At 46.9% G+C, this 27,843-nt stretch overlaps 1 protein-coding gene, 1 long non-coding RNA gene and 1 pseudogene across 13 annotated transcripts in view, besides 1 other annotated feature; 2 read left to right on the top strand and 1 right to left on the bottom strand.

Annotated features, from left to right (window-relative positions):
- The first annotated feature begins 20 nt into the window (after nucleotides 1–20).
- On the top strand, nucleotides 21–10,165 carry TBC1D28 (TBC1 domain family member 28). Of its 11 annotated transcripts, none has more exons than XM_017024421.3 (11): nucleotides 21–122; nucleotides 1,780–1,826; nucleotides 2,443–2,584; nucleotides 2,679–2,780; nucleotides 3,308–3,390; nucleotides 5,198–5,237; nucleotides 5,711–5,791; nucleotides 5,992–6,099; nucleotides 6,439–6,548; nucleotides 7,815–7,863; nucleotides 8,428–10,165. In XM_017024421.3, the coding sequence occupies exons 3-11, from the start codon at nucleotides 2,489–2,491 to the stop codon at nucleotides 8,809–8,811; spliced, it is 1,053 nt and encodes a 350-aa protein (XP_016879910.1). In that variant the 5' UTR covers nucleotides 21–122; nucleotides 1,780–1,826; nucleotides 2,443–2,488; the 3' UTR covers nucleotides 8,812–10,165. The 11 variants fall into 11 exon arrangements, with proteins under 11 accessions (XP_016879910.1, XP_016879906.1, XP_016879908.1 ...); XM_017024417.3 differs by having other exon boundaries at nucleotides 2,414–2,584; XM_017024420.2 differs by lacking the exon at nucleotides 21–122 and adding an exon at nucleotides 129–1,675.
- LOC124903945 (uncharacterized) lies at nucleotides 2,511–4,270 on the bottom strand. Its single transcript, XR_007065655.1, has 3 exons — nucleotides 4,176–4,270; nucleotides 3,431–3,546; nucleotides 2,511–2,633 (listed from the first exon to the last, which is right to left on the bottom strand). It is a non-coding gene; the product is annotated as an uncharacterized LOC124903945 (long non-coding RNA).
- Nucleotides 18,442–18,736: an enhancer, noted in NCBI's record as "tiled region #6133; K562 Activating DNase unmatched - State 12:CtcfO". NCBI's record gives its function as "activates a minimal TATA promoter and a strong SV40 promoter by Sharpr-MPRA in K562 cells {active_cell/tissue: K562}" and the evidence as "EXISTENCE:reporter gene assay evidence [ECO:0000049][PMID:27701403]".
- Nucleotides 18,795–27,843, top strand: part of CCDC144BP (coiled-coil domain containing 144B, pseudogene) — an 87,818-nt pseudogene continuing 78,769 nt past the window's right edge. Inside the window, exons 1-2 of the transcript NR_036647.1 lie at nucleotides 18,795–19,308; nucleotides 21,843–21,913. The product of NR_036647.1 is annotated as a coiled-coil domain containing 144B, pseudogene (transcript). The remainder of the gene's footprint in view (nucleotides 19,309–21,842; nucleotides 21,914–27,843) is intronic.

The following is a 27,843-nucleotide window of genomic DNA, read 5'->3' as shown; positions in this document are numbered from 1 at the left end:
CGCCCACCTGTCCGCTTGCCGTCTCTATGTCTGGAGCTCTTAGAGATAAGACATAGAGGTGTCTGGTTCTGAGAAAAGGAAGTTTTGCTAAGTGAGAGACACAACTGACTCAACTGACTCAGGTGAGTGTGACCTGCTCTGTTCCTTCCCTGCTGACCTGGGTACAGTCATTACCTGGTGGGCAGGGCTAGCCTCTGGGCAGGTGCCGAGGAGGGTCATCCCTGAGCACTCACCAGGTGCCTGTTCTGCACTGACCTGGTGGACTCTGTGGGGTGGGTGCTGTCCCCGAATGTACCCATTCCACAAGTGAGATGTCTAGGGTCAGAGAGGAGGTGACTGGCCAAGAGACCCAGATGTGATCCTGGGCTGTGCTCTCAGCCCTGCCCTGTGCATGCCCTGGTCTCTATGGCCCTAGATTCCAAATCTGCCCAGGGTTTTCTGGCCCCTGATGGGGCAGAGTCTGGCCCTGAAAGAGCTACTGGGATGGAACTCCTATGGGTGTGGTGGAGGGAGGTGGTGCTCGGTCCAAGTCTGTGCCCTAAGCTGGGTGTCCGCAGGAGGAGGTCTCACCAACTCAGACTTCACGTGCGGTCACTGAGGGTCTCCGTGGGACCCACTGGACACATGGGGTCCCTTGTCTGGGAGTAGGGAGCCCTCTGCCTGTGGGCAGTTGTGGTAGAGGACCTTGAACACTGCTGCTCTGGGGCCTGGGCAGGGAGGACTTGGACAGTGGGGACCTGGTCAGGAAGGCCTGGTCACTGGGGGACTGGTCAGCGAGGACATGGTCAGTGGGGAATTGGTCATCAGGGGCCTGGTCAGCAGAGGCTTGGCCACTGGGGCTTAGTCAGTGAAAAACTGGTCAGTGGGGACATGGTCAGTTGGAGCCTGGTCATCAGGGGCCTGATCAGTGAGGACCTAGTCAGAAGGCCTGGTCACTGGGAAAACGGTCAGTGAAAGCCTGGCCGGCAGGGGTCTGGTTAGTGGGGGCCTGGCCAGATGGTTGCTTGGTGACCTCAGGCACGGGGTTTGTCCTTAGAGCCTCCTTGCCTCCGTCCATAGCAGAAATGAGTCATGGCACCCTGGAAGGCTACTGGGAGGAGGAGGTGAAAAAATGTGTGGAATCCGACCTTGCCACTCACACCCAGCATTTTACAGTCTAGCTGAGTTCCCCCTAATGAGGGGCCCTGTCCTGTGCCCTCTAACCCCTAGCCCCCATCTGCATCTTCAGGACTGCCCCGTGTGGGGAGTTCTGAGGTTGGGGAGGACCCATGGATGCTCTGATGCTTGCCACAGGCCTCAAGGGAAGGTGACGCTGATTAAGACTTGATGAGCACTTGGGTGCACATGTAAGTGGGACAGCCAGCCCTGGCCAGAGACGCTACTCGTGCACACACATGTTCACCCACATAAACATACATGCTCACCTGCACAAACACATTTTGACACCTTAGGGGCTGGAGGACACCGACTCTGGGCCCTCTTGACCTGGGCAATGGCCCATTATGATGGGTGCCATGACCTCAAAATGTCACTGGTGCTGAGTGACCGCCCACCTGCCCACCCACTCACCTCTGTGTTGTGCAGCACTTGCACATAAGACGCACACAGGTGTCTGGTTCTGTGGTGCATGAACGACTTTTCTAAGCGAGAGACACAGCAGCCTGAGCAGACTCAGGTGAGTGACCTCTGGGCAGATGCCGACGAGGGTCACCCCTGAGCACTCACCGGGTACATGTTCTGCACTGACGGCGTGGACCATCCTCTCCTTTGTCCTCACAGAGACTCTGTGGCGATGGGTGCTGTCCCCAAATGTAGCCATTCCACAGGTGAGATGTGTAGAGTCAGAGAGGCGGTGACTGGCCCAGAGACCCAGATGTGACCCGGGCCGTGCACTCAGCCCTACCCTTTGCCATGCTGGACTTGAGCTTTGACCGCTGAGGCCTCTCTACCCTAGATTCCAAATCTTCCTTGAGTTCTGGAATTCAATGAGGCAGGGTCTGGTCCTGGAAGAGCCACTGGGACAGAGCCCCTGTGGGTGGGGTGGAGGGTGAAATTCTTGGTCCAAGTCTGTGCCCTAAGCTTGGTCCCCACAGGAGGAGGTCACTGATGGTTGCTGTGGGACCCACTGGACACATGGGGTCCTTCATCTAGGAGTGGGGTGGGGAGCCCTCTGCCCTCAGGCAGTTGTGGAAAATGAAGGAGCCCTGGAGGGCTGCCTGGAGGGTGACAATCGTCTCTCCTGGTCAAAGAGGCTTGGGGACTGGAACCCTCCTGCAGCGTCCCATTCTCTCTGTCTGGTCCTCTAGAGGCCTTGCCTTCCGTTTGCCCCGAGTATTCCTGGGGGGGACGGTTCCCCCAGGTGTTCTCTAGGACTAAGGCCCCAGCGTTCTCTTGTTCTTTCTTGGTGACCCAGGAAAACAAAGTCCCCTCCTGTATTGACAGCTGGGAATTGTGGTGTCCACCGTCCTCGACCTGCGACGGGGTCTCCATGAGCACAGAGGCTGCTCTGGAGTCAACAGATCATCTTTTCCCCAAACCAAACTGCTTGGCTGGCGTTGTTCCTGAAGGGGCTTCACTGGCCAGAGTGAGTGAGAATTGGGGTAGAACGGAGCAGTCACCAGATGTCTTGCTTCCTACGGAAAACTGATTATCTTCCTGGTCCCTGAACCATCCTATAGAGACATCCAGTCCCTGACTCCACCTGCCTCCAGGTGCCCAGAACAGCCCATCGTGGGGACTTCACCCTCAGCAAGTGGACGCCGTTTGTCCTGCCAGGGCAGGTGTGTGTCTGCCTTGGGGTGTTCGGGGACAATAGGCCTCTCTGTTCAGGTCCCCGTGTGCTCAAATCCTCAAGAAGGAGCCCACCACTGGTTGGAGGTCAGGACTTCAGAGATCCAGTCAGGGGTGGGGCCACTGAGTCTGGCCCCTTGTCATCTGGGAGGGGTAGTGGAATGGGGCTCACCAGACTGGAGTGTGTCTGGGAGTGCAGTGCGTGTGGTTTGGCTGTTCTCTGGAGCTCTTGGGTGCGGGAGAGCCTTGGGATGACTTTGTCTTGCAGGATGGAGATGGATGAGGACCCGGATAACCTGCCTGCCCAGGGGCAAGGCAATATCATCATTACTAAGTATGAGCAGGTACAAGTTGGGCCGCTCCCTCAAGGGAAGCAGGGCCTCGCCTCTCCCGCTGTGCCCTGGTCACAGGGTCCTGGGCTTCCTAAGATCACAGGGTGGGGAGGGGCTGCCCACCTCCCTGGGCCTCCCACACCTCTCACCTTACCCCCACTATCCTGGCCTCCTCTGGGTTTCAGGGACACCGAGCTGGGGCAGCAGTGGACTTGGGGCATGAGCAGGTTGATGTCAGAAAATACACCAATAACCTCGGGATTGTGCAGTAAGTCCTCTGTCCCCCCGACCCCAGCCACCAATCTCACCTCAGGGATGGGTTTTGTTTTTAGAAAGGCCTCTCTGAAGCAGGACATGTCTCCCTGGCTGGGCCAACCTCCTCTCCAGGGTCAGAACTCCTCCCAGGCTCTCCTGTCGGTCCAGCCTGTGGTCAGGGTTAGGGCACAGCCTCATGACACATTTAGGGAGCTCAGGAGAGGGGGTAGGGACAGAGAGGGGACCAGAGCAGGCCCGTGGGCTCTCAGCACTGTGGTCTCCAAGTAAGCTGGAGAGGAGGGGCAGCCTGAGGATCTGGCCCTGTTCCCTTGGGGCCTGCCTTGGTGAGATCTGAGGGTTGTGGCCACAGGGCAAGAGGGCACCTGGCCTGGCCTCTGGGCAGTTGTATAGCAGATCTCTGAGGGCTCAGGGGGCTCAGCCATGAGGAAGGGGCATAGGGACAGTGAGGGCCTTGGCCCTGGCCCTGGTAGGTTGTGGAAGAAGAAGGGCAGGGCCCTGGCCTGGGCTTCTCACTGAGGCCAGGGGGACAACAGAGCATGCAACTGAAGGCCCCGGGAGTGGTGCAGGGAAGGGACCTGGGCCTGGTAATGGGAGCCCAGCCTGAAGCCGGCCCCTCATGACTCACAGGATGGAGAGAGGGAGGAGCCTGGGGGAGGGGGGCAGGGTGAGCCCCTGAGACCTGCCACTTCTGGAAGGCACCTGAACCAAGCCAGACCCGGGTGGAGCTGACAGCCTGGGGAGGACAACAGATGGGGTGGGCAGGGAACAGTGGCTCACCTGGGACCCCTCAGTGGGGGAACTTGGTCAGTCCCCAAGGCTCTGCATGGCCCTCCAGAGATTCTGCTTCCCGCTGGCTCAGTCAGCACTGCGCAGGGTGGATGGAGGGGCCAAGTCAGGGCAGGCAGGACAGTAGGGGAGGACAGCCAAGCATCCCATGTCCTGGTTTTTGCAGTGGCTGGGAGGAGGCTGAGGGCTGAAGGCCAATGACCCTGAGAGCCAGCTGAGGCTGGAGCAGGAGTGCTGGGGCCAGCCCCACTGCCTGCAGGGCCCTTGGTCATCCTTGCTGCCCTGAGTGTCTCCCCAGCAGTGCTGGGCAGCCCAGTCAGAGAGTGGCCAAGGCGTGGGTGTGGACGGATCTGGGAGGTCTCACTCAGAGGTTCTGAAAGGACAAGGGTCACAGAAGGGCCAGAGTGGCCGGAGAGAGGGTCATAGTGTCTGGGCTGGGCAGGATGGGGGAAGATGGGGAGCAGGCAGGGTGAGCGGCCAGGATGCAGGGAGAGGCAGGTGCACGCTGGGAGGTCAGACCTTGCAAGGCCCATGGGGAGTGTCAGATGGGATGGGCTCCAGGTGCATCCTCAGGGCACTGGGCAGCTCTCAGGCCAGGCTCCCTGGACTCTGGTGGGTGATGTGGTCACTCCTGAGGTACTGCTGTTAGTCAGGGCTTGGCCACCCACCCTGGGTGGCACCCATCCCATCTCAGAACTGGACTTTCTTAGCGTCCACAGAGGGTGTCACCTCCAGCCCAGGTGGAGCAGCACCGTTGTGCAGCCCAAGGCACCCCACGGGCTTCAAGTGTCCCCCCCACCCAGGGCCAGCTTTGAGCTTCTTCTTCACCAAGGTCCCAGTGCCTTGCTAGTGTCAGATCCGCAGGGAGGCCCTTGCCTTCCTTCTCTGTGCCTTGTCCCAGGCTGAGACTTAGGGTGGATGGGGGTAGGCTGGTCCTTCCCTGGGGCCCTCTCAGGGAGAGGGATGGCTCCTGGCCTGGGCAGGTCCTCAGCTCTGCCTGGGTTGCCTTACAGTGAGATGGAGCTGCCCCGCGTCAGTGCCCTGGAGGTGAAGGTAAGAGCCTGTGCCTGCTGCGTGGGAGGCTGCTTCAGGGACTGGGAATCGGGTGATCGGTAAGGCAGAGGGGGTGGCCTGTGGGCCTGTGTGGTGGTGAGTGGGCCACGGCTGTCACTGGGAGGGGTGGCCTTTCCTGCTGGACTCTGTTCCCATGAGGGCTTGACCAAAACCCAAACCAAGAACTGTAGTCCTGGCTCAGAGTCCACTGCCTGTTTGAACCAAGACCCCAGCTGAAGGCTGGACCTGACCAAAACTTGGGGCCTCTATGGCCTGAGGATGGCATGTCCTGGCATCACCAGTCCAGACTACCAGCTCCAGTTCCTTCAGAGGGTCTCAGCCCCTGGGGCCTGCCCTTTCCTGGCTTCTTCAGGTTGGGTCCCTTCAGGGCCCCAAAGCCCTGGACCCAGCATCCACGGGCCACTGTCAGACGACTGACAGCTCCGCTAACTCCATCATGGCTCATTTGACAGCAAAGACGCAAGGAAAGTAAACGTACCAACAAGTGGCAAAAGATGCTTGCAGACTGGACAAAATATAGGAGCACCAAGAAGGTAACATGGGGAGGAAGCGGCCCCCGTGACTGCTCTCTGCAGAGCCAGGAGACAGGCGCCCATGGTTTTGGCCTGGGTGGGTGCCTCTCAGTGGGTGGGTGGTACCCCATCCTTGCCATAGGACTGCAGGCCTGTTCGCCAGCTTTCCTCTGCGGGGTTGCCCCATGTCCTTTCTCACTGGAGTGTTCTTCTGTCTGTAGCTGTCTCAAAGAGTATGCAAAGTCATTCCCCTGGCGGTGCGGGGCCGGGCGTTGTCACTTTTGCTAGATATTGACAAAATCAAGTCCCAGAACCCAGGCAAATATAAGGTAAGTCCCTCCCACACTCAGCTAGGGCAGTACAAACAAGCTAGACTGTATCAGGATCCCAGGACTCCAGCTGGAGGGAACGTTGAGCCTGGGTTGGGGGTGGGGGCTGTGGTCAGATGCACATCCTGGGCATAGATGGTAACTCAGGCACCACAGGTGCGCTGGGCTCTGCTGACCCTCCCTGGCGTCAGAAACAAGGCAAAAAGGAGCTTTCTGCAGAAGGAAACCTTCCTTCCTTCCTTCCTTCCAGAAGTGCTGACTGTGGGATGACTGCCGTTTGGGGCAGGGAGTCTTTTGTCTGTTCTGAGGCTGCTTCCTCCTCTTGGCCCCGCCCTACAGGTCATGAAGGAGAAGGGCAAGAGGTCCTCCAGAATCATCCACTGCATCCAGCTAGATGTCAGCCACACCCTGCAGAAACACATGATGTTCATACAAAGATTCGGAGTCAAGTAAGGCCAATGGGGCTTGCAGGGGTCCCAGAGAAGATGGGGCAATCCAGAGGAATGAGGTTGTCCCCAGGGCAGAGGCCAGGGTCACCCAGGAGAGGTGACAGAGCCACCAAGGGCTCTCCTGGCCCAGGGAGCAGCCGGCACCATGGACTGAGCACCTCCCGGCTCTAAGCCCTGGGCCGGGCTGGGACATGTAGGGCCAGAACCCAGGTGACTCCCAAGGAGACGGAAGGCAGAAAAAAAAAGAGTCATGCAGATGGTGAAAAGTGCTCTCCATGACCCACAACTATCCAGGATAGGGACCCATGGGAAGGTGGCACGATGGCAGGGCTTGGGAGCCTTCCCAGGCAACACTGACTGCCCAAAATACTAGAAAGGATGCGGGGCCCCGGAAACTCTCATCCATGGCTGGTGGGAACGTGACAGGGCACAGCCATTTTGTAAGTCACATGGGCTGTGGCTCACAAAGCTCAGTGGCCTCGTACCACACATCCCCAAAGTGTGACAGATATTGGCCACACTGATTTGAAAACTGACGTCCAAGTAAAACCCGCATGTGACGTTCACCGCTTGATTGGTTGTAACTCACACCCGGAGGCTACGGAGATGATCTTCAACATGGGAACTCGGGAGGAAGGGGGTTCCACTCTTCAGACAGAGGCGACTCAGTGAGGAAAAGGAACGAACCCCTAATGCCTGCAGGAACATGGGTGGATCTTAGATGAGTATTGCTGAGGGAATGACGCCAGACCCAACAGGCTACCACCATGGGATTCCAATTCATTGGCCATTCTGGGAAAGGGCAAACCATAGAGACAAAGAACAGATCAGGATGGCCAGGGGCTGACAGAGCCGGGAGACGTTGCCTGCAAAGGGGACATGCTAGGGACTTGGAAGATGAAGGAGCCGCTCTGGGAGGGGCTGCAGTGGTGGACGGGAGGCTCTGCACATTAGTTCAGAATCGTGGAACTGCACGTCCCAAAGACTGGACTTCTGTGTGTGCAAACTGAGAAAAAGGGGAAGAAAAAATCAACCAGAGTGAAAAATGATCACTGATCCAACTGTACACCTACGACATTGCATTGCAAGGAATGTGGATTTTACTGAAAAAAAATTCCTAAAAACTCAGGTGTCCTAAAGAGCTCACTGCTTATTTGGGGGGATCATCTGAACCCAGAATTGTGTTCGTTATTTGGGTTTGTAGACAAAATGAAATTGACAGCGTCTGCACAAAAAAAACAAAACCCTCTTTCCCCTCTTTTCTAGGCAGCAGGAATTATGTGACATCCTCGTGGCCTATTCTGCATATAACCCTGTGAGTATTCCCGGGCAGCGATATTCCTGGTACCTGTGCCCATATTCACAGGCATGGGTGTCTCTCGGGGGTGTTGCAACTTCTTGAAAATTCAGCGTTTGTCCACCAGGACGTAGTAGGCAGGACTTCAGCTCGCTGCTGGCAGAAAAGGGTTGAAGCCCAGACTCCTGGTCTCACATGGACCCAATCACCACATCTCAGATGAAGAAATGACCTTCCCCTCCTGGTGTTGCCCCAAAGCCTAGGAGCTTGGCAGGGTCCCACACAGGATGGTCCTTGTAGGAGACAGGTTTGACAAGTTGCTGAGGTGCCTGATGGGCCAGGCACTTGTCATGAAATGAGTTTGCATCCTGGGGGAGCCTCTTCTTCACTGGAAACCTGGCAAGGATCCAATTTCCCCTTTGCCTGATCCCCACAGGAGCATAGCAGATAGGGAGGGGGGTCACCCAGGTGGCTCTTCCTGCTTGGCCCCCACTTTCCAGACCATTCCAGGCAGGGAGAGCTGCTGAGCTGACTGCATGAGCTGCCCACATGGAGGACCCAGCCACCCCTTATGTTCGGCAGGCAGCCCTTGGGCTGTTGCAGGACCGTGGCCAGTTCTTGGTATTGCTCAAGTCCCCTGGGCCTTCAGACTGGCGGGTGACTTCAAGGGAGCAACCATCCTGGGCCTCTCCTGGGACAAACACTTGCCTTCACCCACTATCGATGTCTTGCTCAGCCCTCAGAGGAGCGTGGTTGGCGTGGATTACTTCATGCCTTGATTCTGCCTTCCCGGAAACCACGGTGGCAGCAGGCTTGGATGTCACCAAGTCACCGTGTTTCATGCTATTTCTGGAGGTTCTCGCCTTTGTGGCCTCGGAAAGGAAGGCGATCTGGTGCTTTGGGGAAAGCCCTCGGGATGCTCCTCCAGATGGTCTTCTTCAGGCCTTTTGCTCAGCATTGGTCTGATCAGTTCTGCCAGCTCTGGGCCATGATCTCTTGGCACTGGCGCGGCTTTCCTTCAATAATTCCATAAACTCCAGACTTCGTGTCTTTTGCATGGAAAGCACGCGGTGCCCATTTCATCGACACCGCACCCCGGAGTCCAAACGTCAGCCCTGCGGGTGTTGGGTTTGTTAGGGACAATTTCGGGCTCAGGTGCAGGGGGCGCTTCCCCAGCGCGGGCGCTTCCTGGGCCCCATCTGAGGCCGTGGGCTCCTGGCAGGAGGACCTGGAGTTTTCAGATCCCCGGGAAGGATGCATTTCCCCCACTCTCGGGCACAAGCTGCCCTTTGCTGGCGTTGGGCACGGATCATGGCCTCGCAGAAGCCCGCGACAGCGTGGAGCAGGTGGTGCCCCCGCCCGGGACTCCTGGTGGGTGATGGCTCCGGGAGGCCTTGGCTGGGACAGAGTGGGGCCTCCGGGTCGGTCAGCGGCCCGAGCCCGGCTGCGGCTCTCGGAGGCTTGGGTTTGGAAGACACCGCCTGCCATCCCGCGGCGCCTCTCGGGGTCCGCTCCCCCGGACTGGCCCTGCCCACCGCGCGCGAGTAGTAGCGGGCGGCCAGGAGTCAGTGGCAGGCGCGGCCGGTGGGATGCCGGGTAGGAGGCTGCGCTGGAGCCCGCTGGGCAGCGCCGACCCCTAAGGCAGCCGGGCGGGTGAGCGAGCAGAGGCGTGGGCGGCTGAGGGGCTGAGGGGCTGAGGCGGCTGAGGCGGCTGAGGGGCTGAGGAGGCTGAGGGGCTGAGGGGCTGAGGCGGCTGAGGGGCTGAGGGGCTGAGGGGCGGGCAGCCTGGCCGGTCCCTGCCGCAGGGTCCACCGCACGTCACGTGGCCGAATCCCTCGGGCTGCTTTCTCTCTGGGCTGTTTTCTTACTGTGAACCTCGTGGGCTCCTGCTCGGTGTCCTTTCTTACTCTGTCTCTGTTTTTGCATTCTATTGGCAAGTATTTTATTTAGGATATTTTACTGATATAACTGAGGATGAACTGTGTTTTGCAGCATTTTGTTTTATTACGCGTTTTCTCCTAGATTTTGGTATCATTTTTATGCTGACTTGATTAAACATTTTGGAAACTTTCCTGGAACTGATAGCTTTTATATGATCTTTTTCTTGAGGTAATAAAATAATTTACTTTGAAATGTCTCAGCCTAACAACTTTTGTGCTTTTGTTGTTTTGTGCAGAGGTGGGAAGACTCCTTTGCATTTTTGGTATCACTTCTGTGTTAATGATTTTGTTGTTTGTTTCGCAAAATCACTTAGTGATCCGTGTTTTCCAACTTAAGAGTTAACATGTACCATTTTGTGAAATAAAAAAAGTCTCGTATATCTCTTTGTATGTCTCTTTTCGTTTGTCATATTTGGAATTGCCTTTTTTTTTTATCATTAGTTTAAAGCAGGAATTTATTAAATATTCCAAAAAGACCGAAGTTTTACTTCATCTCCTAGGCATTCATTTTTCAGTGTGTTATTCACTGATTTCTCCATGTTCATTAATATTTGGAATAATTTATGTAAATTGATTATTGCTGCGTTATGAGCTTATGGAGCAACATTCTTTGTCTTCAGTATTTTAATGTATTTTTCTATTAAATATACTTCAGTCACTTATACCATATTTAGGATTATTTTCCTAATTCTAGACCTACTAATTATAAACTGGAATGCTGATAATTTTCCCTAAGCTTCAATTGTTTATAATTTATTCATTTATTTATGACAGATGGGCATAAAACTACTTTATTACAAAGATTTAATGATGTGTAGAGATTTTATACTATGTGCTTGGACACAAACACTCTTAAATAATTGTTTATTTTTTCCACCTGCTTTTGACATAATGAAAGTGCATTTTTAATTTTTTAATTTTTTTATTTAGTTGTAACAGACTTTAGCATGTAATGGTCCCAGATTCTTTTGTTATCTGTTTTATAGCCACATTGTTTATTCTGTTGTCATTATATAGTATTTACATGCTGTATTAGTCTGCTCAGGCTGTTATAACAAAATACTATAAACAGTGCTTTCAACAACAGACATTTATTTTTCACAGCCCTGGAGGCTGGGAAGTCTGTGACCAAGACAATGGCTGATTTGGTTCTTGAGCAGGCTTTCTGTCCTCTTCTTATAAGGGCATTAATTCCATCATAAGGACCCCACTCTCATGACCTCATGTAAACCTAATTACCTTCAAAGGCCCTATTTCCAAATCCCATCACACTGAGAGTTAGATCTTCAGCACATAAATTCTGGGGGAAACAAATGTTCATGCCATAACACACACTGCTGACCCTTTCTTTCCATTTCCGTAGTTGTTTAGTGTTATTATTTATAATATTTTGGAGGAATACCCTAATTATAGTATGGGTACTTATTAATTTTGTAATACAAAATGCATTTATTAAGCAGTGAAAATGCTAATAAAGTCATATAGTAGTTGCTTCCTATACTATATATATCTTGTGACATTTGAGAAAGATTTTGCATAATATATGTAATGCTATCATTCAAACATCTTTAATAAGTTGGTCAGAAAGAGAAGAATGTTTTCCATCTTCAACCCAACTAAGGATACATTCCAGGTCCAAATCACCAAATACATGAACTTAGATTTAAATGTTTGTAGTCAGGCATTCAACTGTTTAATTACAGTCCACCCGGAACACACATTTTATTCTCAGTTCTCATATCAGCAGGGCATTGATAACGTGTATTTGTCTAATGGCAAGTCCAAGCATTAGCTTTTGATAGCATCTTAACCCAATTTGACATTTCTGTGTGTGCTTAAGTGTCCAGACAAGCATTCACCAATGCTTTTTGTGATGTTGGAAATGTTCTCTATGCTACGAAATGTGCTAACCACTACCCACATGTGGCTTTTGAGAAGTTGAAAGGTAGCTAGTGTGACTAACCAAATTTTTATATTATTGTAATTAATTTAAATTTAAATGTAGTAGCCATGTGTGGCTATTGGACAACGTACCTCTAGGTCATTATCACTGGTATCTGGATAGATCAGACAACTCACAGAAGCCTCACACTTAACCCCATTCTTCTTAATGTCAAAGCATGGGGCCTGCTACTTCATCTCTCTACACTTTTGAATTATCCCTCATTTTTTACCCTAACATAAGTCAAGGTGGATATTATGCCAAACATTACAGAAAAGTAGTGACAGGCCAGGCCTGGTGGCTGTAATCCCAGCACTTTGGGAGGCTGAGGTGGGTGGATCACGAGGTCAGGAGTTCGAGACCCACTTGACCAACATGGTGAAACTCCGTTTCTACTAAAAATACAAAAATTAGCCGGGCCTGATGGTGTCCACCTGTAATCCCAGCTACTCTGGAGGCTGAGGCAGGAGAATCCCTTGAACCTGGGAGGCAGAGGTTGCAGTGAGTTGAGATCACGCCACTGCACTCCAGCCTGGATGACAGAGTGAGATGCTGTCTCAAAAATAAAAAAGTAAAGAAAAAAGAAAACTAGTGACAAAATCAGTAACTTAGCAGTTTTCCTTGAACTCTTCGATGTAGTCCAGTAAATAATCTTGTGGGGTTTTTTGTTTGTTTTTTGCTTTTTTTTTTTGGACAGAGTCTGGCTCTGTCACCCAGGCTGGAGTGCAATGGCGTGATCTTGGTTCACGGCAACCTCTGCCTCCCGGGTTCAGGTGATTCTCCTGCCTCAGCCTCCCGAGTAGCTGGGATTACATAATCTTGTGTTTTTTTTATGATCTCTATATGTTGATTTTATTATCTTTAAAATGATAACACTAGGAAGACCTACTTCATATTATTTTATTTTTTTAAGACATGGTCCCACTCTGGCACCCAGGCTGGAGTGCATTGGTCCTAACAGGGCTCACTGCAGCCTCAACCTTTCAGGTTGCAGTGATACTCCCATCTCAGCCTCCCAAGGAGTTGGGACTACGGCTGGGTGCCACCAAGCCCGGCTAATTTTTAGATTGTTTTATAGAGACAGGGTTTCGCCATGGTGTCCAGGCTGATCTCCAATTCCTGAGCTCAAGAGATCTGCCCACCTTGGCCTCCAAAAGTGCCGGGATTACAAATGTGAGCCATCGTCCCCCACCCTCTATAATTTTAAATTAGGCAACTGAAGTAATGCATACAGCATACCACATCATGTTTTATAAAGCATAAAGTCAGGATAATAAGGTGGTTAAGAGCATGAGCTCAGAGGTGAAATCATGCTGGAAACAGTTACTTTTGGTAAGAAGAGCAACACTTGGAATAGAAGATAAAATGATCTTTGAATTATTTGCAATGTTTTCATTTTTACAAAAATGTTTATGTTTGCATTTAATGTGAAGGGGAAATTTTAAAAGAACTATTTTAAATAATACAAAATATTTATATCATCACTTTTTTTTTTTTTTTGAGACACAGTCTCGCTCTGTCACCCGGTTGGAGTGCAGTGGCACGATCTCAACTCACTACAACCTCCACCTCCTGGGTTCAAGCAATTCTCCTGCCTCAGCCTCCCGAGTAGCTGGGATTACAGGCGCCCACCACCACGCCTACCTAATTTTTGTATTTTTAGTAGAGATGGGGTTTTGCCATGTTGGCCAGGCTGGTCTCAAACTCGTGACCTCAGGTGATCTGCCACCTTGGCCTCCCAATGTGCTGGGTTTACAGGTGTGAGCAACCATGCCCGGCCTATCATTACCTCTTTGTTTATTAAAGGGTTACATTAAAATGAGGATTTAAAATATCATTTAAATTATTCAAATTGTTATTCAAAATTTGAGAAGGAAATACTGGGTTACAAAATAGGCATTATTTGTAAGTTCTGTGTCCTGCTCTGAGCATAAGTGGTCTGATATTAGGAAAGTCAATAATTACCTTAGTAGTACTTTCTTTTCAAATACCATAAATAAATAATGTAATTACATGTATCATTTAATCATTACATGTGGTAAATCAGTGACACACACACACACACTTACACACACAGAGTGAATTTACCAGATGCATCCCATCAGTCTGGCAAAATGCCCATGATTAATAAAATATGTGTGGAGACATATTGGTCCCTACTCTTCAAAGTAAAATTCAAGTGTATATGGATATATTATCTTTACCTTTGAAACCGAAAGTAAGGTAATATTCTACCTTTTGAAGGGATAATCATTCTAAGTTTTAACTATGAGAATATTTCTATCATTCACTTACCTATTTCACAATTCTGAGACAGCCTGAAACAAAATGAACAAGAATAAACCATATGTATTAACATATATTACCTTATATAAAAAATATTTTGACTGTACTTCTGCCCTTTATTAAGACATATGCCAACTAAATATTATTTTAAAGGAGCTATAGATGATGATGAAATAATTTTCAAGTACAGTTTTTAAAAAAGCTACATCTACTCTTGCTGCTCCTGTCATAGCCTAGATTTATAGCTAATTTTCATGAGTTACAGTTTTGTATTACACATCCTCCCAACCATGCCATTTCCCAGCTTTTAAAATAACTTAATGATTTTTAATAGGAATGTAGACAAAGTATTGCTGCCTCTTATCAGAATTTACTGGCACCTTTGCCCACAAATTGGAGGTAAAATATGTCACTGTGACCCTTATTGGTATCCCTGATGTGTGACATCAATTGCACATTTTCTTTCCTCTGATTTTATGTGTATGTTTTGTAGATCAGACAAACCTGGGACATGTCATCCAGGCACGGTGGCTCATGCCTGTAATCCCAGCTATTCGGGAGGCTGAGGCAGGAGAATGGCTTGAACCTGAGAGGTGGAGGTTGCCATGAGCCAAGATTGCGCCATTGCACTCTAGCCTGGGGGAGAAGAGCAAAACTCCGTCTCAAAAAAAACAAACCTGGGACATGTCAAAATTTCTCTAATGAAATACTTGTGTTTACCTAAAATAAATTCCTATTAGAACAATAAAAGTGAGAAACAAAACAAACGCAAAATGGAAACAATTTGTATAACCTGGCAAAAGGCAGTAACATTAACCTATATTTAATGTATTTAATGAACACATCGAAACTCAAACCAATAATTTATCATTGTAGTAAAAATATACAACAGAAATTATGAGATGGTTTCATCAGTGAAAAGCACTGTGTATACAATCATTCCCTAGGTGACTTCATATTTCTCTAGACCAATTCTAATAATTTGCTCATAATAGTATAAATGAAACTGTTTTCCAAATAATATTAATGTCTACCTTCGCCTATCACCATTGTGTCAATATTTGTGTGATTCTATAAAATTTAGAATGTGTAGAAGGATGCCTTTGCTTTTGCAATACAAAAAATGGCCTAACACAGATATAGTTGATAAAGATATAGATAGATAGGGGGTTGCATTTTGAAATTTATTTCTTCAAGGGACTTATTTCAAGTTTGAAATTATTCTGGTTTTAAAATTAACAAATGATAAACCTTATAGAATGATAACACAATTGTACATGTTATAAGGTCACAGCGTATATCAAATGATGAATCAATCATTTTGTGTTGAGGTTTGGTAGTATTTATTTATTTTTTATTTATTTATATTTTTTTTTACTGAGACTTCAATTTGAGAACAGTTTTTATACGGAGGGGCCCTACCACTGCCGCTTACTGGGGCTGTTCTCAGACTGTGAGATTCTGCCCACACCAAGCCAGGATGAGAGTTTTATTCCTCATACTGCTCTCAGTACTTGTTTGCATCCCATAATATCCCCCCAAAAGTTCATTTTTTATGCTGTTATTCGCTTACATTTAATACATGTATCAAAAAGTCATTTTTTTTTTTTGAGACGGAGTTTTGCTCTTTTTGCCCTGCCTAGAGTGCAATGGCGCGATATCGGCTCACCACAACCTCCGCCTCCTGGGTTCAAGCAACTCTCCTGCCTCAGCCTCCCAAGTAGCTGGGATTACAGGTGCCCGCCACCACACCTGGCTAATTTTGTATTTTTAGTAGGGACAGTGTTTCATTATGTTGGTCAGACCAGCCTGGCCAACATGATGAAACACTGTCCCTACTAAAAATACAAAAATGAGCCAAGTGTGGTGGCACGTGCCTGTAATCCCAGCTACTAGGGAGGCTGAGGCAGGAGAATTGCTTGAACCCAGGAGGCAGAGGTTGCAGAGAGCCGAGATTATACCACTCTGCACTCCAGCCTGGGCAACAGTGAGACTCCATCTCAAAAAAAAAAGGAATGTATAATAGTTCTCATTATCTCCCCAATAAATCTCTGCAGTAGAGATTTTGACCTTGTGAGGGAAGTACTGACCTTGTGAAGGAAGTATAAGTGGTGAGGGAGGGAAGGTGAATTTGAAAACACCATTTGGAATTATTGCACTTTAAAGGTAAAGCTGGTAGTTTTTCCATACACGTCAGATCTGAAAATGTGTGTGTGTGTATGTGATGGAGAGATAGAGAGGGAATGAAAACCAGACAGATATAGAGAGAACTAAAAGGGGACATCAAGAATATTCAGCTGAGAAATTATAAAATGGGAGTTGCCGCTAAACAGAAAGCGGAAGACCAAGTTTGGGGAGTACTGGTGGCTCCATGTGGACATTCATTTTGAGATTCCTAAATGATACCCAAGTGAAGAAGTCAGACGGTGTTGGGTGTAGTCTAATGTTGAGGTGTAATATGAAATATCAGGGAATTAAAGCATAAAAATTAGTAAGAAAGCAAAGATAAGAAAGATAAGTCCAAGTCCTGAGCCTAGTGGTTCTCTAACATTAAAAAAGTAGTAAAGATGAGAAGAAACCAGCAAAAAATGACTAGGAGTAATTATCAAAAATGTTGGGGAAAGTAGGTTAAGTGTTCTGGAATTCTATCAAAGAAGTTTTGCAAAAACGAGGGAGAGATTGACTGTGTCAAATGCTGCTGATACATAAATTAAGACAAAGGCTGGGGAATTATGCTTTAATTAATAATTTAACAATGTGAACATGGTTTGTGCTTTGATAAGAGCAATTTTGTTGGAGTGAGTAGGTGAGAAACCATTTTGGAGTGGTGGCTCAAAGGAATGTCAGATCTCTGTATTCTTTTTTTTTTTTTGAGATGGAGTTTTGCTCTTATTGCCCAGGCTGGAGTACAGTGGCACGATCTCAGCACACTGCAACCTCCGCCTTCTGGTTTCAAGAGATTCTCCTGCCTCAGCCTCCCGAGTAGCCGGGATTACTGGCACACGCCACCACACCCAGCTAATTTTTTGTAGTTTTTTAGTAGAGACGGGGTTTCACCCTGTTGACCAGGCTGGTCTCGAACTCCTGACCTCAGGTGATACACTCGCCTCTGCCTCCCAAAGGGCTGGGATTACAGGCATGAGCCACCGCGCCCGGCCCTTTATCCAGTCTACTATTGATGGACACCTAGGTTGATTTCATGTCTTTGCTATTGTGACTAGCACTGTGATGAACATAAGTGTGCATGTGTTTTTGGTAGAACGATTTCTTTTCTTCTGGATATATACCCAGTAATGGTATTGCTGAGTCAAATGGTAGTTCTGTTTTAAGTTCTTTGAGAAATCTCCAGATTGCTTTCCACAGTAGCTGAACTAATTTACATTTCCACCAAAAGTGTATTCCCTTTTCTCCACAGCCTTGTCAGCATCTGTTATTTTTTGACTTTTTATCAATAGCCGTTCTGACTGATGTGAGATGATGAAATCTTTAAAAGTGAAGCTCTATAGTCTTCCCCAGTTATTAGAAAGTGTTCTTCCTCAGCCACCGTGTAAGGAGAGCATCTTAGCCAGCCCAATTGCAGGCGCGAGTGACTCCCCAGAAAAGGAATTAGGTGAAGGATGATATGTGACATCGCTGTCATAAAAATGGCCATAACATGTGTCCCTAGGGCTGCTGTGTCTTTATAAGGCCATGTAGTCTGTGAGGGGTGTTGCTCACTGAGTGCCAGCGTGCCCACCAGGACAGCCGCTGCGGGACTGGGTGCTGCATGTCCCTGTGGAGGGAGGTCACCACACAGCAATTCCTGAGGCATGGCTGGGCCTACTCTGCAAGTGTAAACTTGATGAGCTGTGCTTAAATAGCTAATTTGTGCTTGATTATGTGAATGCAATTTTTTTCATATTTACTGTATGTATTTACTGTTTACCATTCTGGGCATTTTTCATGTATGGACTTGTTGGACCCTCACAGAGGTCCTGTGAGGTGGATGCACTCTGCAGGAGGAAACTGAGACACATGGCTTATGAGCAGGAAAGGCAAGAGGCAAGGCCAGGCAGGCAGCTCCAGAGCCCATGCCCTCAACCACCCTGACAGCTCTACCTTCTGCACATATCTGGTTAGATTTAGACCTTAGTCGGTTTTTTTTCGGGTTTTTTTTTTTGTTTTTTGTTTGGTGCTGTCGCAATTGGTATTGTTTTTCTTATTACCAAATCCAATTGTTCAATCGGTATATGGGACAGCAATTGACGTTTGTATGCTGACTTTGTATCCTGAGACTTAGCTAAACCTGCATGTAAACAAACACTTTGGGATTTTCTAAGCAATCATGTCATCTGCAAATAAAGGCAGTTTTATGTCTTCCTTTCCAATCTGCATGCCATTTATTTCTTTAACGTGCCTTTTTGCACTAGCTAGAACTTCCAACACCGTTTTTTGTTGTTGTTGTTTTTGGTTTTGTTTTTGAGATAGAGTCTGTGAAACAGCACTCATGACAGGCAGGCTAGGCGCCGCCACCCCGAAACCTCCGAGGGAGGACCAGCCAGCCCAGGTTGGCGCTGGAGCTGCAGCACCACCTGCAGGCCAAGGAGTCTTTTTCTGGGAGGCTGGAGCTACAGCGCCACCTGCAGGCCAAGGAGTCTTTTTCTGGGAGGCTGGAGCTGCAGCGCCACCTGCAGGCCAAGGAGTCTTTTTCTGGGAGGCTGGAGCTGCAGTTGCAGTGAAGTCACAGGTTCCGTGACGTCACAGGTGGGCAGGCGCACTGGTCTGTAACGGATTGGCTTGGCCTTACCCGCGAGGCTTTGCGGTGGCTGCTTGGCTTGGCGGTGGTCGCTTGGCTTGGCGTGGCAGTGATCGCTTGGCTTGGCATTTCTGGCTTGGCGGTCCTCCTTTCGCAGATTGGAAACCGCGGGCTATCCTGCTGGGAGGTTGTGGCCGAGGCAGTAGCTCGCTACTGATGGCCTCCTGGGGTGGAGAAAAGCGGGGAGGGGCTGAGGGGTCTCCGAAGCTGGCAGTCTACGCCACGAGGAAGACCCGTAGCGTCAGGAGCCAGGAGGACCAGTGGTACTTGGGCTACCCGGGGGACCAGTGGTCTTCGGGCTTCTCCTACAGCTGGTGGAAAAATAGCGTCGGCAGCGAGAGCAAGCACGGTGAGGGCGCCTTAGACCAGCCCCAGCACGACGTCCGCCTGGAAGATCTTGGCGAGCTCCACAGAGCTGCCCGGTCGGGCGACGTCCCTGGGGTGGAGCACGTCTTGGCTCCTGGAGACACTGGCGTGGACAAGAGGGATAGGAAGAAGAGGTAATGGCCAGGTGAAGGATGCGGGTGCGCCGTCCTGTCGGGGACACTGGCTTTCTGGTGCCCGGAGGCCCCATGGCACCCGGGATGGGGAAACGTCAGAGGGGTCAGGGGCCCAGGCCTCTTAGTGAGACGGGATCAAATATAAAGGATTATTACTATTGCAAAAGTGTTGGTCTACTTTACAGGAGTTTTCTTTAAAAATATTGCACTTCCCAACTGTGTTTATCCATTTTCTCAATTTATTCATCAAACATAAGCTGAATACATATTATACAGCAGACATATTCTACTGTCGCTCAGGTTCCTTCCACCCTTAAGAACTTCATGTTGGCCGGGCTCGGTGGCTCATGCCTGTAATCCCAGCACTTTGGGAGGCCGAGGAGGGCAGATCACGAGGTCAGAAGTTCGAGACCAGCCTGACCAACATGGTGAAACCCCGCCTGTTATGCTTTTGTCTCAGCCTAGACTTAGCTAAGACCTTCATGATAAATTATCCTTTAGGCCCTCGGGGTTCAGTTCAAATAATGTTGCAGAAAGAGATGAGTTTCCTTTTTTCATTGCTACCAGATCTGTATGCTGAGGACTCTTTTCTTTTTTTTTTTTTTTTTTTTTTTGAGACGGAGTCTCGCTCTGTCGCCCAGGCTGGAGTGCAGTGGCGGGATCTCGGCTCACTGCAAGCTCCGCCTCCCGGGTTCACGCCATTCTCCTGCCTCAGCCTCCCGAGTAGCTGGGACTACAGGCGCCCGCCACTACGCCCGGCTAATTTTTTGTATTTTTAGTAGAGACGGGGTTTCACCGTTTTAGCCGGGATGGTCTCGATCTCCTGACCTCGTGATCCGCCCGCCTCGGCCTCCCAAAGTGCTGGGATTACAGGCGTGAGCCACCGCGCCCGGCCGGACCCTTTTCTTAGATCGTGGAATGTCCCATATTATCGTTTCCCAGATTTGTGACAGGAAGCCCTCACCAGAATTCTGAGTCTCAAGTATGTTAGCTGGATTTAACAGAGCCAAGTCTCATCCATGACTCATGAATATCCATGTATAAAATGAGAGCTTTGGCAGGGTGCAGTGGCTCATGCCTGTAATCCCAGCAATTTGGGAGGCTAAGGTGGGCGGATCACGAGGTCAGGTGATTGAGAGCATCCTGGCTAACACGGTGAAACCCCGTCACTACTAAAAAATACAAAAAAAATAGCCGGGCGTGGTGGTGGGCGCCTGTAGTCCCAGCTACTCAGGAGGCTAAGGCAGGAGAATGGCATGAACCCGGGAGGCGGAGCTTGCAGTGAGCCGAGATCGCGCCACTGCACTCAAGCCTGGGTGACAGAGCGAGACTCAGTCTAAAACAAACAAACAAACAAAACTTGCTTCAGCAGCAAACATATACTAAAATTGAAACAAAATGGCAGCATGGCCCCTGCCTGCATAAGGATGATGCACAGATTTTTGAAGTCCATATTTTGCGCAGTCACTAGAAGTTCATTTGACTATTTGCTGACTACTTCCAAAGACAGTGTGAGTCAAAGCAAACTGGGTATCACCTAATATTAAAATTGTGATTTTTCACTACAAAAATATGCAGTAAGGTGATCAATGGAGCTGAGTAACACGTGGGATGTTGTGTGCAAATATATTGTCAGTATGTATCTCAGAAATGAGAGAATGTCAACTTGCATGTCTTTCATGGAACTGAAAAAAAAAAGTAGAATTTTGTTTTCCATGTCAGTTGGAGATGAACATGGGGATTGAGCATCCTTCTAACAAAGATCTGCCGATTCAGAGTTTGAGTCTGTATGGAACAGTAGTCCAAGCTAGGTCTTGACATCTATTAGCTTTCTCCCCTTGGCGTGATTGATGAGCTCAGTAATAGTGGACAGTGTTGCTATCTAGTTTGATGAAATAATATATTTATAAGTAAATTTAGTTACAAACTATGAACTAGCTGTGATGCCCCAAATTATAAGCCACAAAGAATAGAACTAATAAAACTAGAACTTAATAACAGTTTTGGAAAACTGCAACATTTGAATATTAGAACCTCTGGAAAAAATACACATTGGGTTTTATTTGTGATTCCAAAACCATTTCCTCAATAAAGCTCAAGAACAAATTATTTCATTGCTTCACTGTTTCTCTGAGCATTTACAAAACGTTTTCTTGTTAAATCTTTTTAACAACCTAGTGAAATAAGGCAGGAAAATCCTTGCTTTTTAGAAGAATACATTGAGCCTAAGAGAAGCAACTTGTCAGAGAATAAATAGCTGCTGGTAATAGAGCTAGGATGCTTTCCATTATGCCAAGCTAATGTGAGTTAATTTACTGAGCTATACTCCCTTCAATTCATGAGTACTTCATCTTTTTTTCTTCTTCAGAAGCTTAAAGAGAAGTTGGTAGAACTCACAAATCGAAGTATATGGGATAATTAAAAGCTCTGATATTAACTCTGATATTGTTTGAAATACTCCAAAAATTTAATATATTTGGTATTTTTCATTTGTTTTAAAATAGTAATTTCATTTATTACATTTTTATCCATAGCATTCAGCAACTAGTTCCTGAATATAAGGAAAAACAGACACCTGAAAGTCTTCCTCAAAATAACAATCCAGGTAAGACTTCTGATAGTGAATTATTTTTGGTGGTCCTACCATAGGTAAAAAAGAAGTAAGAGTAAAGAAGTTTTGATCATGAAAGAGCAGTTTTAAAAAATCTTTATTTCTTTCTTGATAGGTTAGATTTCTTGGTAGGTTAGATGTCACAATTATTTAAAAAGTTAATTGTAGGTCATTTATTTTTTCAAACAATCTGGTCTGAAAAAAAATTAATTATGGTCCCTAAAATCCTATGTGATATTTTTGTATAAATAAGAAAAAGTTTTTTTTTTTTTTTTTGAGATGGAGTCTCGCTGTCGCCCAGGCTGGAGTGCAGTGGTGCGATCTCGGCTCACTGCAGGCTCCACCCCCTGGGGTTCATGCCATTCTCTTGCCTCAGCCTCCAGAGTAGCTGGGACTACAGGCGCCCGCCACCCAGCCCGGCTAATTTTTTGTATTTTTAGTAGAGACGGGGTTTCACCATGTTAGCCAGGATGGTCTCGATCTCCTGACCTCGTGATCCATCCGCCTTGGCCTCCCAAAATGCTGGGATTACAGGCGTGAGCCACCGCGCCCGGCCAAGAAAAAGATATTTTTGAGTTAGTAAGTTGTATGTTTTCTTTATAGTCACATTATAATGAATTAGACTTGTTATGAAATTGGAACTTCTATTTAATTTTTAAAATAAATGACTTATGTTTAGTAAATGAATATCAATCACAATTGACCCTTAACAATGTGGAATTTAGGGATGCTTGATTCCCTCTGCAGTCAAACATCTGTGTATAACTTTTGACTCCCCCAAGAACGTAACTACTAATAGCTAACTGTTGACCAGCAGCCTTATTGATAACATAAACAGTCAATTAAGATATGTTTGGTATGGTATATGTATTAATATGCTGTATTCTTACAATAAAGGAAGCTAGGGAAATAAACTGTTAAGAAAATCATAAGGCAGAAAAAATACGCTTACTGTTCATTAAATGCAAGTGGATCATTCTATAACTCTTCATCATAGTCTTCAAGTTGAGCAGGCTAAGGAGAAGGAGGAAGAGGAAGATTGGTCTTCGCTGTCTCAGGTGGTAGAGGTGGGAGAAAATCTGCTCATAAGTAGACCCCTGCAGTTCAAATCCGTGTTGTTCAAAGGCTAACTATATTACATAGTGATTTGTGTCACTAAAAAAAAGAAATTAGTTTCAAAACTGGAAACTCAGCAATACCTTTCTGGCACCATAAACAAATGGCAATAAGAACTGTGAAATGGCCAGGTGTGCTGCCCACACCTGCAGTCCCAGCAAGTTGGGAGGCCTAGGTGGGAGGATCGCTTGTGTCCAGAAGTTCCAGACCAGCCTGGGTGACAGAGTGAGACCACATCTCTACAAAAACAAATACAAAATTAGCTGGGTGTTTTGGTGCACACCTGTAATCCCAGCTACTTGGGAGACTGAGATGGGAGGATCGCTTGAGCCTGGGAGTCAAGGCTGTAGTGAGCTGTGATCATGATCACAACCTGGATGACAGAGTGAGACCCTGTCTCAGAAAAAAACAAAAACAAAAACACAAACAAAACCCTGCCAAACATACCCAATGTGCACTAATACTAATGGGAAATTATTTTTTAAAGAGACCTTCTGAGTGCAGAAGTCAGAAAAGCAATTCCTTGTTGAGAAGAACAGGTCATGTTACATACTTATAAACCAACAAGGTGTCACTATTATTGACTTTCCCCCAATTTGAAATCGAATGAGGTATATTTACTTCATTAGAACAAGATGTGTTTTTCTACCTGCTGGTTAATTGCTATGTTAACAGTAATTTTGTTAGAACAAGATATGCTGTTACCATTAGCCAAAAGATTATCATAATAAATATTCAAATAGCCCAACTCTAGGCTCAACAAATTATAATGAAAGTATAAAAATGTTTCACAATAACAAAAAATGCTTCTGTGCTTCCAAGATGTGATGCCTAATGCATTGGACAATCTGAACTGTAAGAGGACACCTTTAATTTAGTACATATTAATCAAAGAACTTCTCTAAGTTAGGTTTTGCACGTTATGGGAGACAAACATGAAATAGACATAGTTTTGGTCTTTGAGGTGCTCATGATAGAACAGAGCTTTCTCTATTTAATTTCTGTGTTTTTTTCAACAGAATTTTCAAGGAAATCATTTATTCATTTGTCCACTTAACAAATAATTATCAAATGTCTTTTAGTACTAAGCTTTTTTTTTCTAATGTTACAGAATACAGACATTTAAAAATACTGTTGGGGCCAGCACAGTGGTGCATGCCTGTAATCTCATCACTTTGGGAGGCTGAGATGGGAGGATCACTTGAGCCCAGAAGTTCGAGACCAGCCCAGGCAACATGACAAGACCTCATCTCTACTAAATTTTTTAAAAAACAATAAAACATTAGCTGGGCATGGTGCCAGGTGCCTGTACTTCCAGCTACTTGGGAGGCTGAGGTGGGAGGATTGCTTGAGCCTGGCTGTTTGAGGCTACAGTGAGCTATGATCATGCCACTGCGCTCGTGTCTGGGTAACAGAGTGAGACCCTGTCTCAAAAAAGAAAAAAAACAAACCAACAAAACCCAGGAGCTTGTTATTATCATTGTCACTTTAATTATTTGATGAATTATTTATTCAGTGCCTACTACTGTGTTAGATGCCCTCTGGAACCGTATAGTGATCATTTATTATGTTAAATATGTGCCAGACACTTTATGTGGTGAGGAATGAAAGCTGTAAAAAAGTGGGTAAGATTTAAGGTAAGCATGAAGAGTGAGTAGAACTTTTCTAGGTAAAGAGGCAGAAGGATGATGTGGGCAGAAGATTGTGTGTGTGGCAGAAGGAGCAGCGAGTGCAAAAGTAAGATGCTTGAGTGAACTTTGCAGGGTTTATGAGCAGTTCAGTTTTGCCAGTGCAAAACATATGAGATGTGAATGGTTGGGAATGAAGTGAATACCTAAGGCAAGCTCATGACAGACTTTTTTTTGAGACAAAGTCTCACTCTGTCACCCAGGCTGGAGTGCAGTGGCGTTCGCTTGGCTCACTGCAACCTCCGCCTCCCGAGTTCAAGTGATTCTCGTGCCTCAGCCTCCCAGGTAGCTGGGATTACAGGCGCGAGCCACCATGCCCAGCTGATTTTTGTATTTTCAGTAGAGACAGGGTTTCGGCATGTTTGACGGGCTGGTCTCAAACTCCTGACCTCAAGTGATCCACCCACCTCGGCCTCTCAAGTGCTGGGATTACAGACGTGAGCCACCACTCCCTGCCCAGACTTTTTAATACTATAGAAATGAGTAGATCTCGGGCCGGGCATGGTGGCTTATGCCTATAATCCCAGCATTTTGGGAGGCCAAGGAGGGCAGATCACAAGGTCAGGAGATTGAGACCATCCTGGCCAACATGGTGAAACCTGTCTCTACTAAGAATACACATGAAAAATTAGCCAGACGTGGTGGAGCATGCCTATGGTCCCAGCTACTCAGGAGGCTGAGGCAGGAGAATCACTTGAACCTTGGAGGCAGAGGCTGCAGTGAGCCAAGATCGCACCACTGCACTCCAGCCTGGGTGACAGAGCAAGACTCTGTCTCAAAAAAAAAAAAAAAAGAAAAAAAGAAAAAAGAAAGAAATGAGTAGAACTTTTCCTGTAGGCCATGGGAAATTTACCAGGTGGAATGCTTTGGGCTGTAAATACTAGATGACCTAACTAACAGTGGCTAAAACAGTAGGGACCAGAGTTGTTTTGATGGTTCAGTGATAACATGGTGTTTTGTTCATGTCTGTTTTCATGGCTGACTAATTAGCAACAGCTCCAAACATCGTGGTCTCACCGACAATATCTTTACATGTTTCTTTTAGTTAGGGAGAAGACTCAGAAGGGTGCAGTTGACTTCCTGTAACATTTTATTGGCTGGGTCCTACCACATGCTCATTCCTAAAGCAGGCACTGGGGAAGCAAATGTAATTACTATGATGAGCTTAGAATAATCATTTCTTCTTTTGGAGTGGGGAGGGCTATTGGCATGATAAATATCCAAATAGATGCGTGTTTCTCTATTGAGAAACAGGGAATCGCTATTGGGTAGGGAGACAGCAATGTTTACTGTAGGGACTCATTGGAGTGGGGAGTCACATGATTAGATTTGAGTATTAGGGCAATCTGGTTATGGTATAAAGCAGGGATTGGCAAGCATTTTCTGTACAGGGCTTTTTCATGTGGTCTGTCATTCCTACTCAACCCTACCATTGAAGTATGAAAACAGTCATAAAAAGGCAAGCAAATATACATGACTGAGCTCCGGTAAAACTTTATTTACAAAACTATAAGGCAGACTGGATTTGCTCCATGGCCTGTAGTTTGCTGACCCCTCATATGGAGAGCAGCTGGAAGATAACCACATAAAGAGACAGGGAAACAAAAGAAACATTTGCATTTATCAGAGCTATAGTTTCCTTGTGCTGTCCTCAGACTAGTGTCGGTCTGTTGTGAGGTTTTCACCCATCCATGGTGAAATCAGTAAGGTTAAGGAGCTCAGTTACTCATTTAAAAATGTCGGTCTTTTTCTTGGCATGATGCCTTTTTCATTTATTTTACTTAAACTTTTTTTTTCATTTAAGAAATAACATTAATAGTTGTTTTTTCCCTATAAAAGCCAATTCTTAAGAGCCCATGTTTAACTAGGAAATATAAACATAAAATAAATGTGTCACAGTGGAAATATAAAGCAGATGCAGAAAAGAGGTACAGTTAATATGATTTAGTGATTGTTGAATGTAAAAAGATAGGGGATAGGGAGAAATCTCAGATGATTCTCAGGTTTCTGGCTTGTGCCCTAGCATTTAACCTGGACACGAGGGAGTAGGCAGTTTTCAGGTGTATAGAGGAGAGCAGCAGGTCAGCAGTCACGACTAACAGTTTTCTCTGCATTGCTGAGTTTACTGAAATGTCCATGTGGGATATTTTCAGTAGGTAATTGGAAAAATTTTTATGGCTGGAGATGGAACTCTGAGGTTGGAGTTGCAGACTTGGAATAACTGAGGCAAAGTTGTAGATCTGAGTGAGCTTGTCCATGATGGGAAAGGTATAGAATGAGCAGAGGGCCAGTGACAGAACCCTGGGAATATCAGCATTTCCCAGAGGAATTAGGAAAGAAGCCTGAGCCGTGGCTAAAGAAAAAGAGGAGAGGAATCATAAAGTGATGTTGCAAAAATTAACAAAGGTGAGAATTTCAAGGAGGGAGTATCAATTCTAACCAGTAAGATTACTAAAAAGTAAAGTGAGTTAACCTTTTAAAAGCCTTCAGTGGCACTGTCTTCTAAAGAACAATCATAGAGTTGTGGGGTTCGCTGTTTATGTGATCAGTACTTCTGATGTTCAAATGGGGAAGAATACACCTACCAAGATCCTACCTAACTTTTGTAACTGCAGCAGCTCCCTGTACAGGATCAGGGAAAATGGTCAAGACTGGTGAGTTAATGTACCACCATTTTCCTAGAATTGTCTAAACCTAAGGTCATATGTGAGGAAAAGTGTAGTCTTTCTTACCTGCTTTTTTGTGGAAATGCTTGTTTGGTACTCAAGTCCTTGATAGGCTCTTCTGAATGCATTCCCAAACAAACATCTGACAGCAACAACTGGAAGCCACCACCAGATGCACGTATATATCGTTCCTCTGACATGGAATCATAATACAGCCATGTTGTGACACAATTTCAGGTTTTGATTAGAAATAGTTTACAGGCCAGCAGTTTAGACAAACTGACATTTTAAAAATATTTTATTGCAGGAAACTAATATAATGTCCTGGAGAAAAATATAAAGTGAAATGCTGAATATAGCAGTTCTCAGTACTTGGGGTTTTGGTCACATCAGGAGAAAAGTCAGTGCCTGACTCCTTTTGTTAGTGCAGTTCCCTTTTCATTTACCCTCTTGT

Source organism: Homo sapiens, chromosome 17 (genome assembly GCF_000001405.40).
Source record: "Homo sapiens chromosome 17, GRCh38.p14 Primary Assembly".
Lineage (NCBI taxonomy): Eukaryota > Metazoa > Chordata > Mammalia > Primates > Hominidae > Homo > Homo sapiens.
The sequence above is the reverse complement of the archived record's forward strand: the minus strand, read 5'-3'. Positions and strand labels throughout refer to the sequence as shown.

What these genes read in the sequence shown, in the direction of transcription:
- TBC1D28 (XM_017024419.3), top strand. Translation starts at nt 2,489, where the DNA reads ATGAGCACAGAGGCTGCTCTGGAGTCAACAGATCATCTTTTCCCCAAA. An exon ending in AATAACCTCGGGATTGTGCA is followed by an intron (nt 3,391 to 5,197) that starts GTAAGTCCTCTG and finishes GTTGCCTTACAG; the next exon opens with TGAGATGGAGCTGCCCCGCG. An exon ending in AGAACCCAGGCAAATATAAG is followed by an intron (nt 6,100 to 6,438) that starts GTAAGTCCCTCC and finishes CCCGCCCTACAG; the next exon opens with GTCATGAAGGAGAAGGGCAA.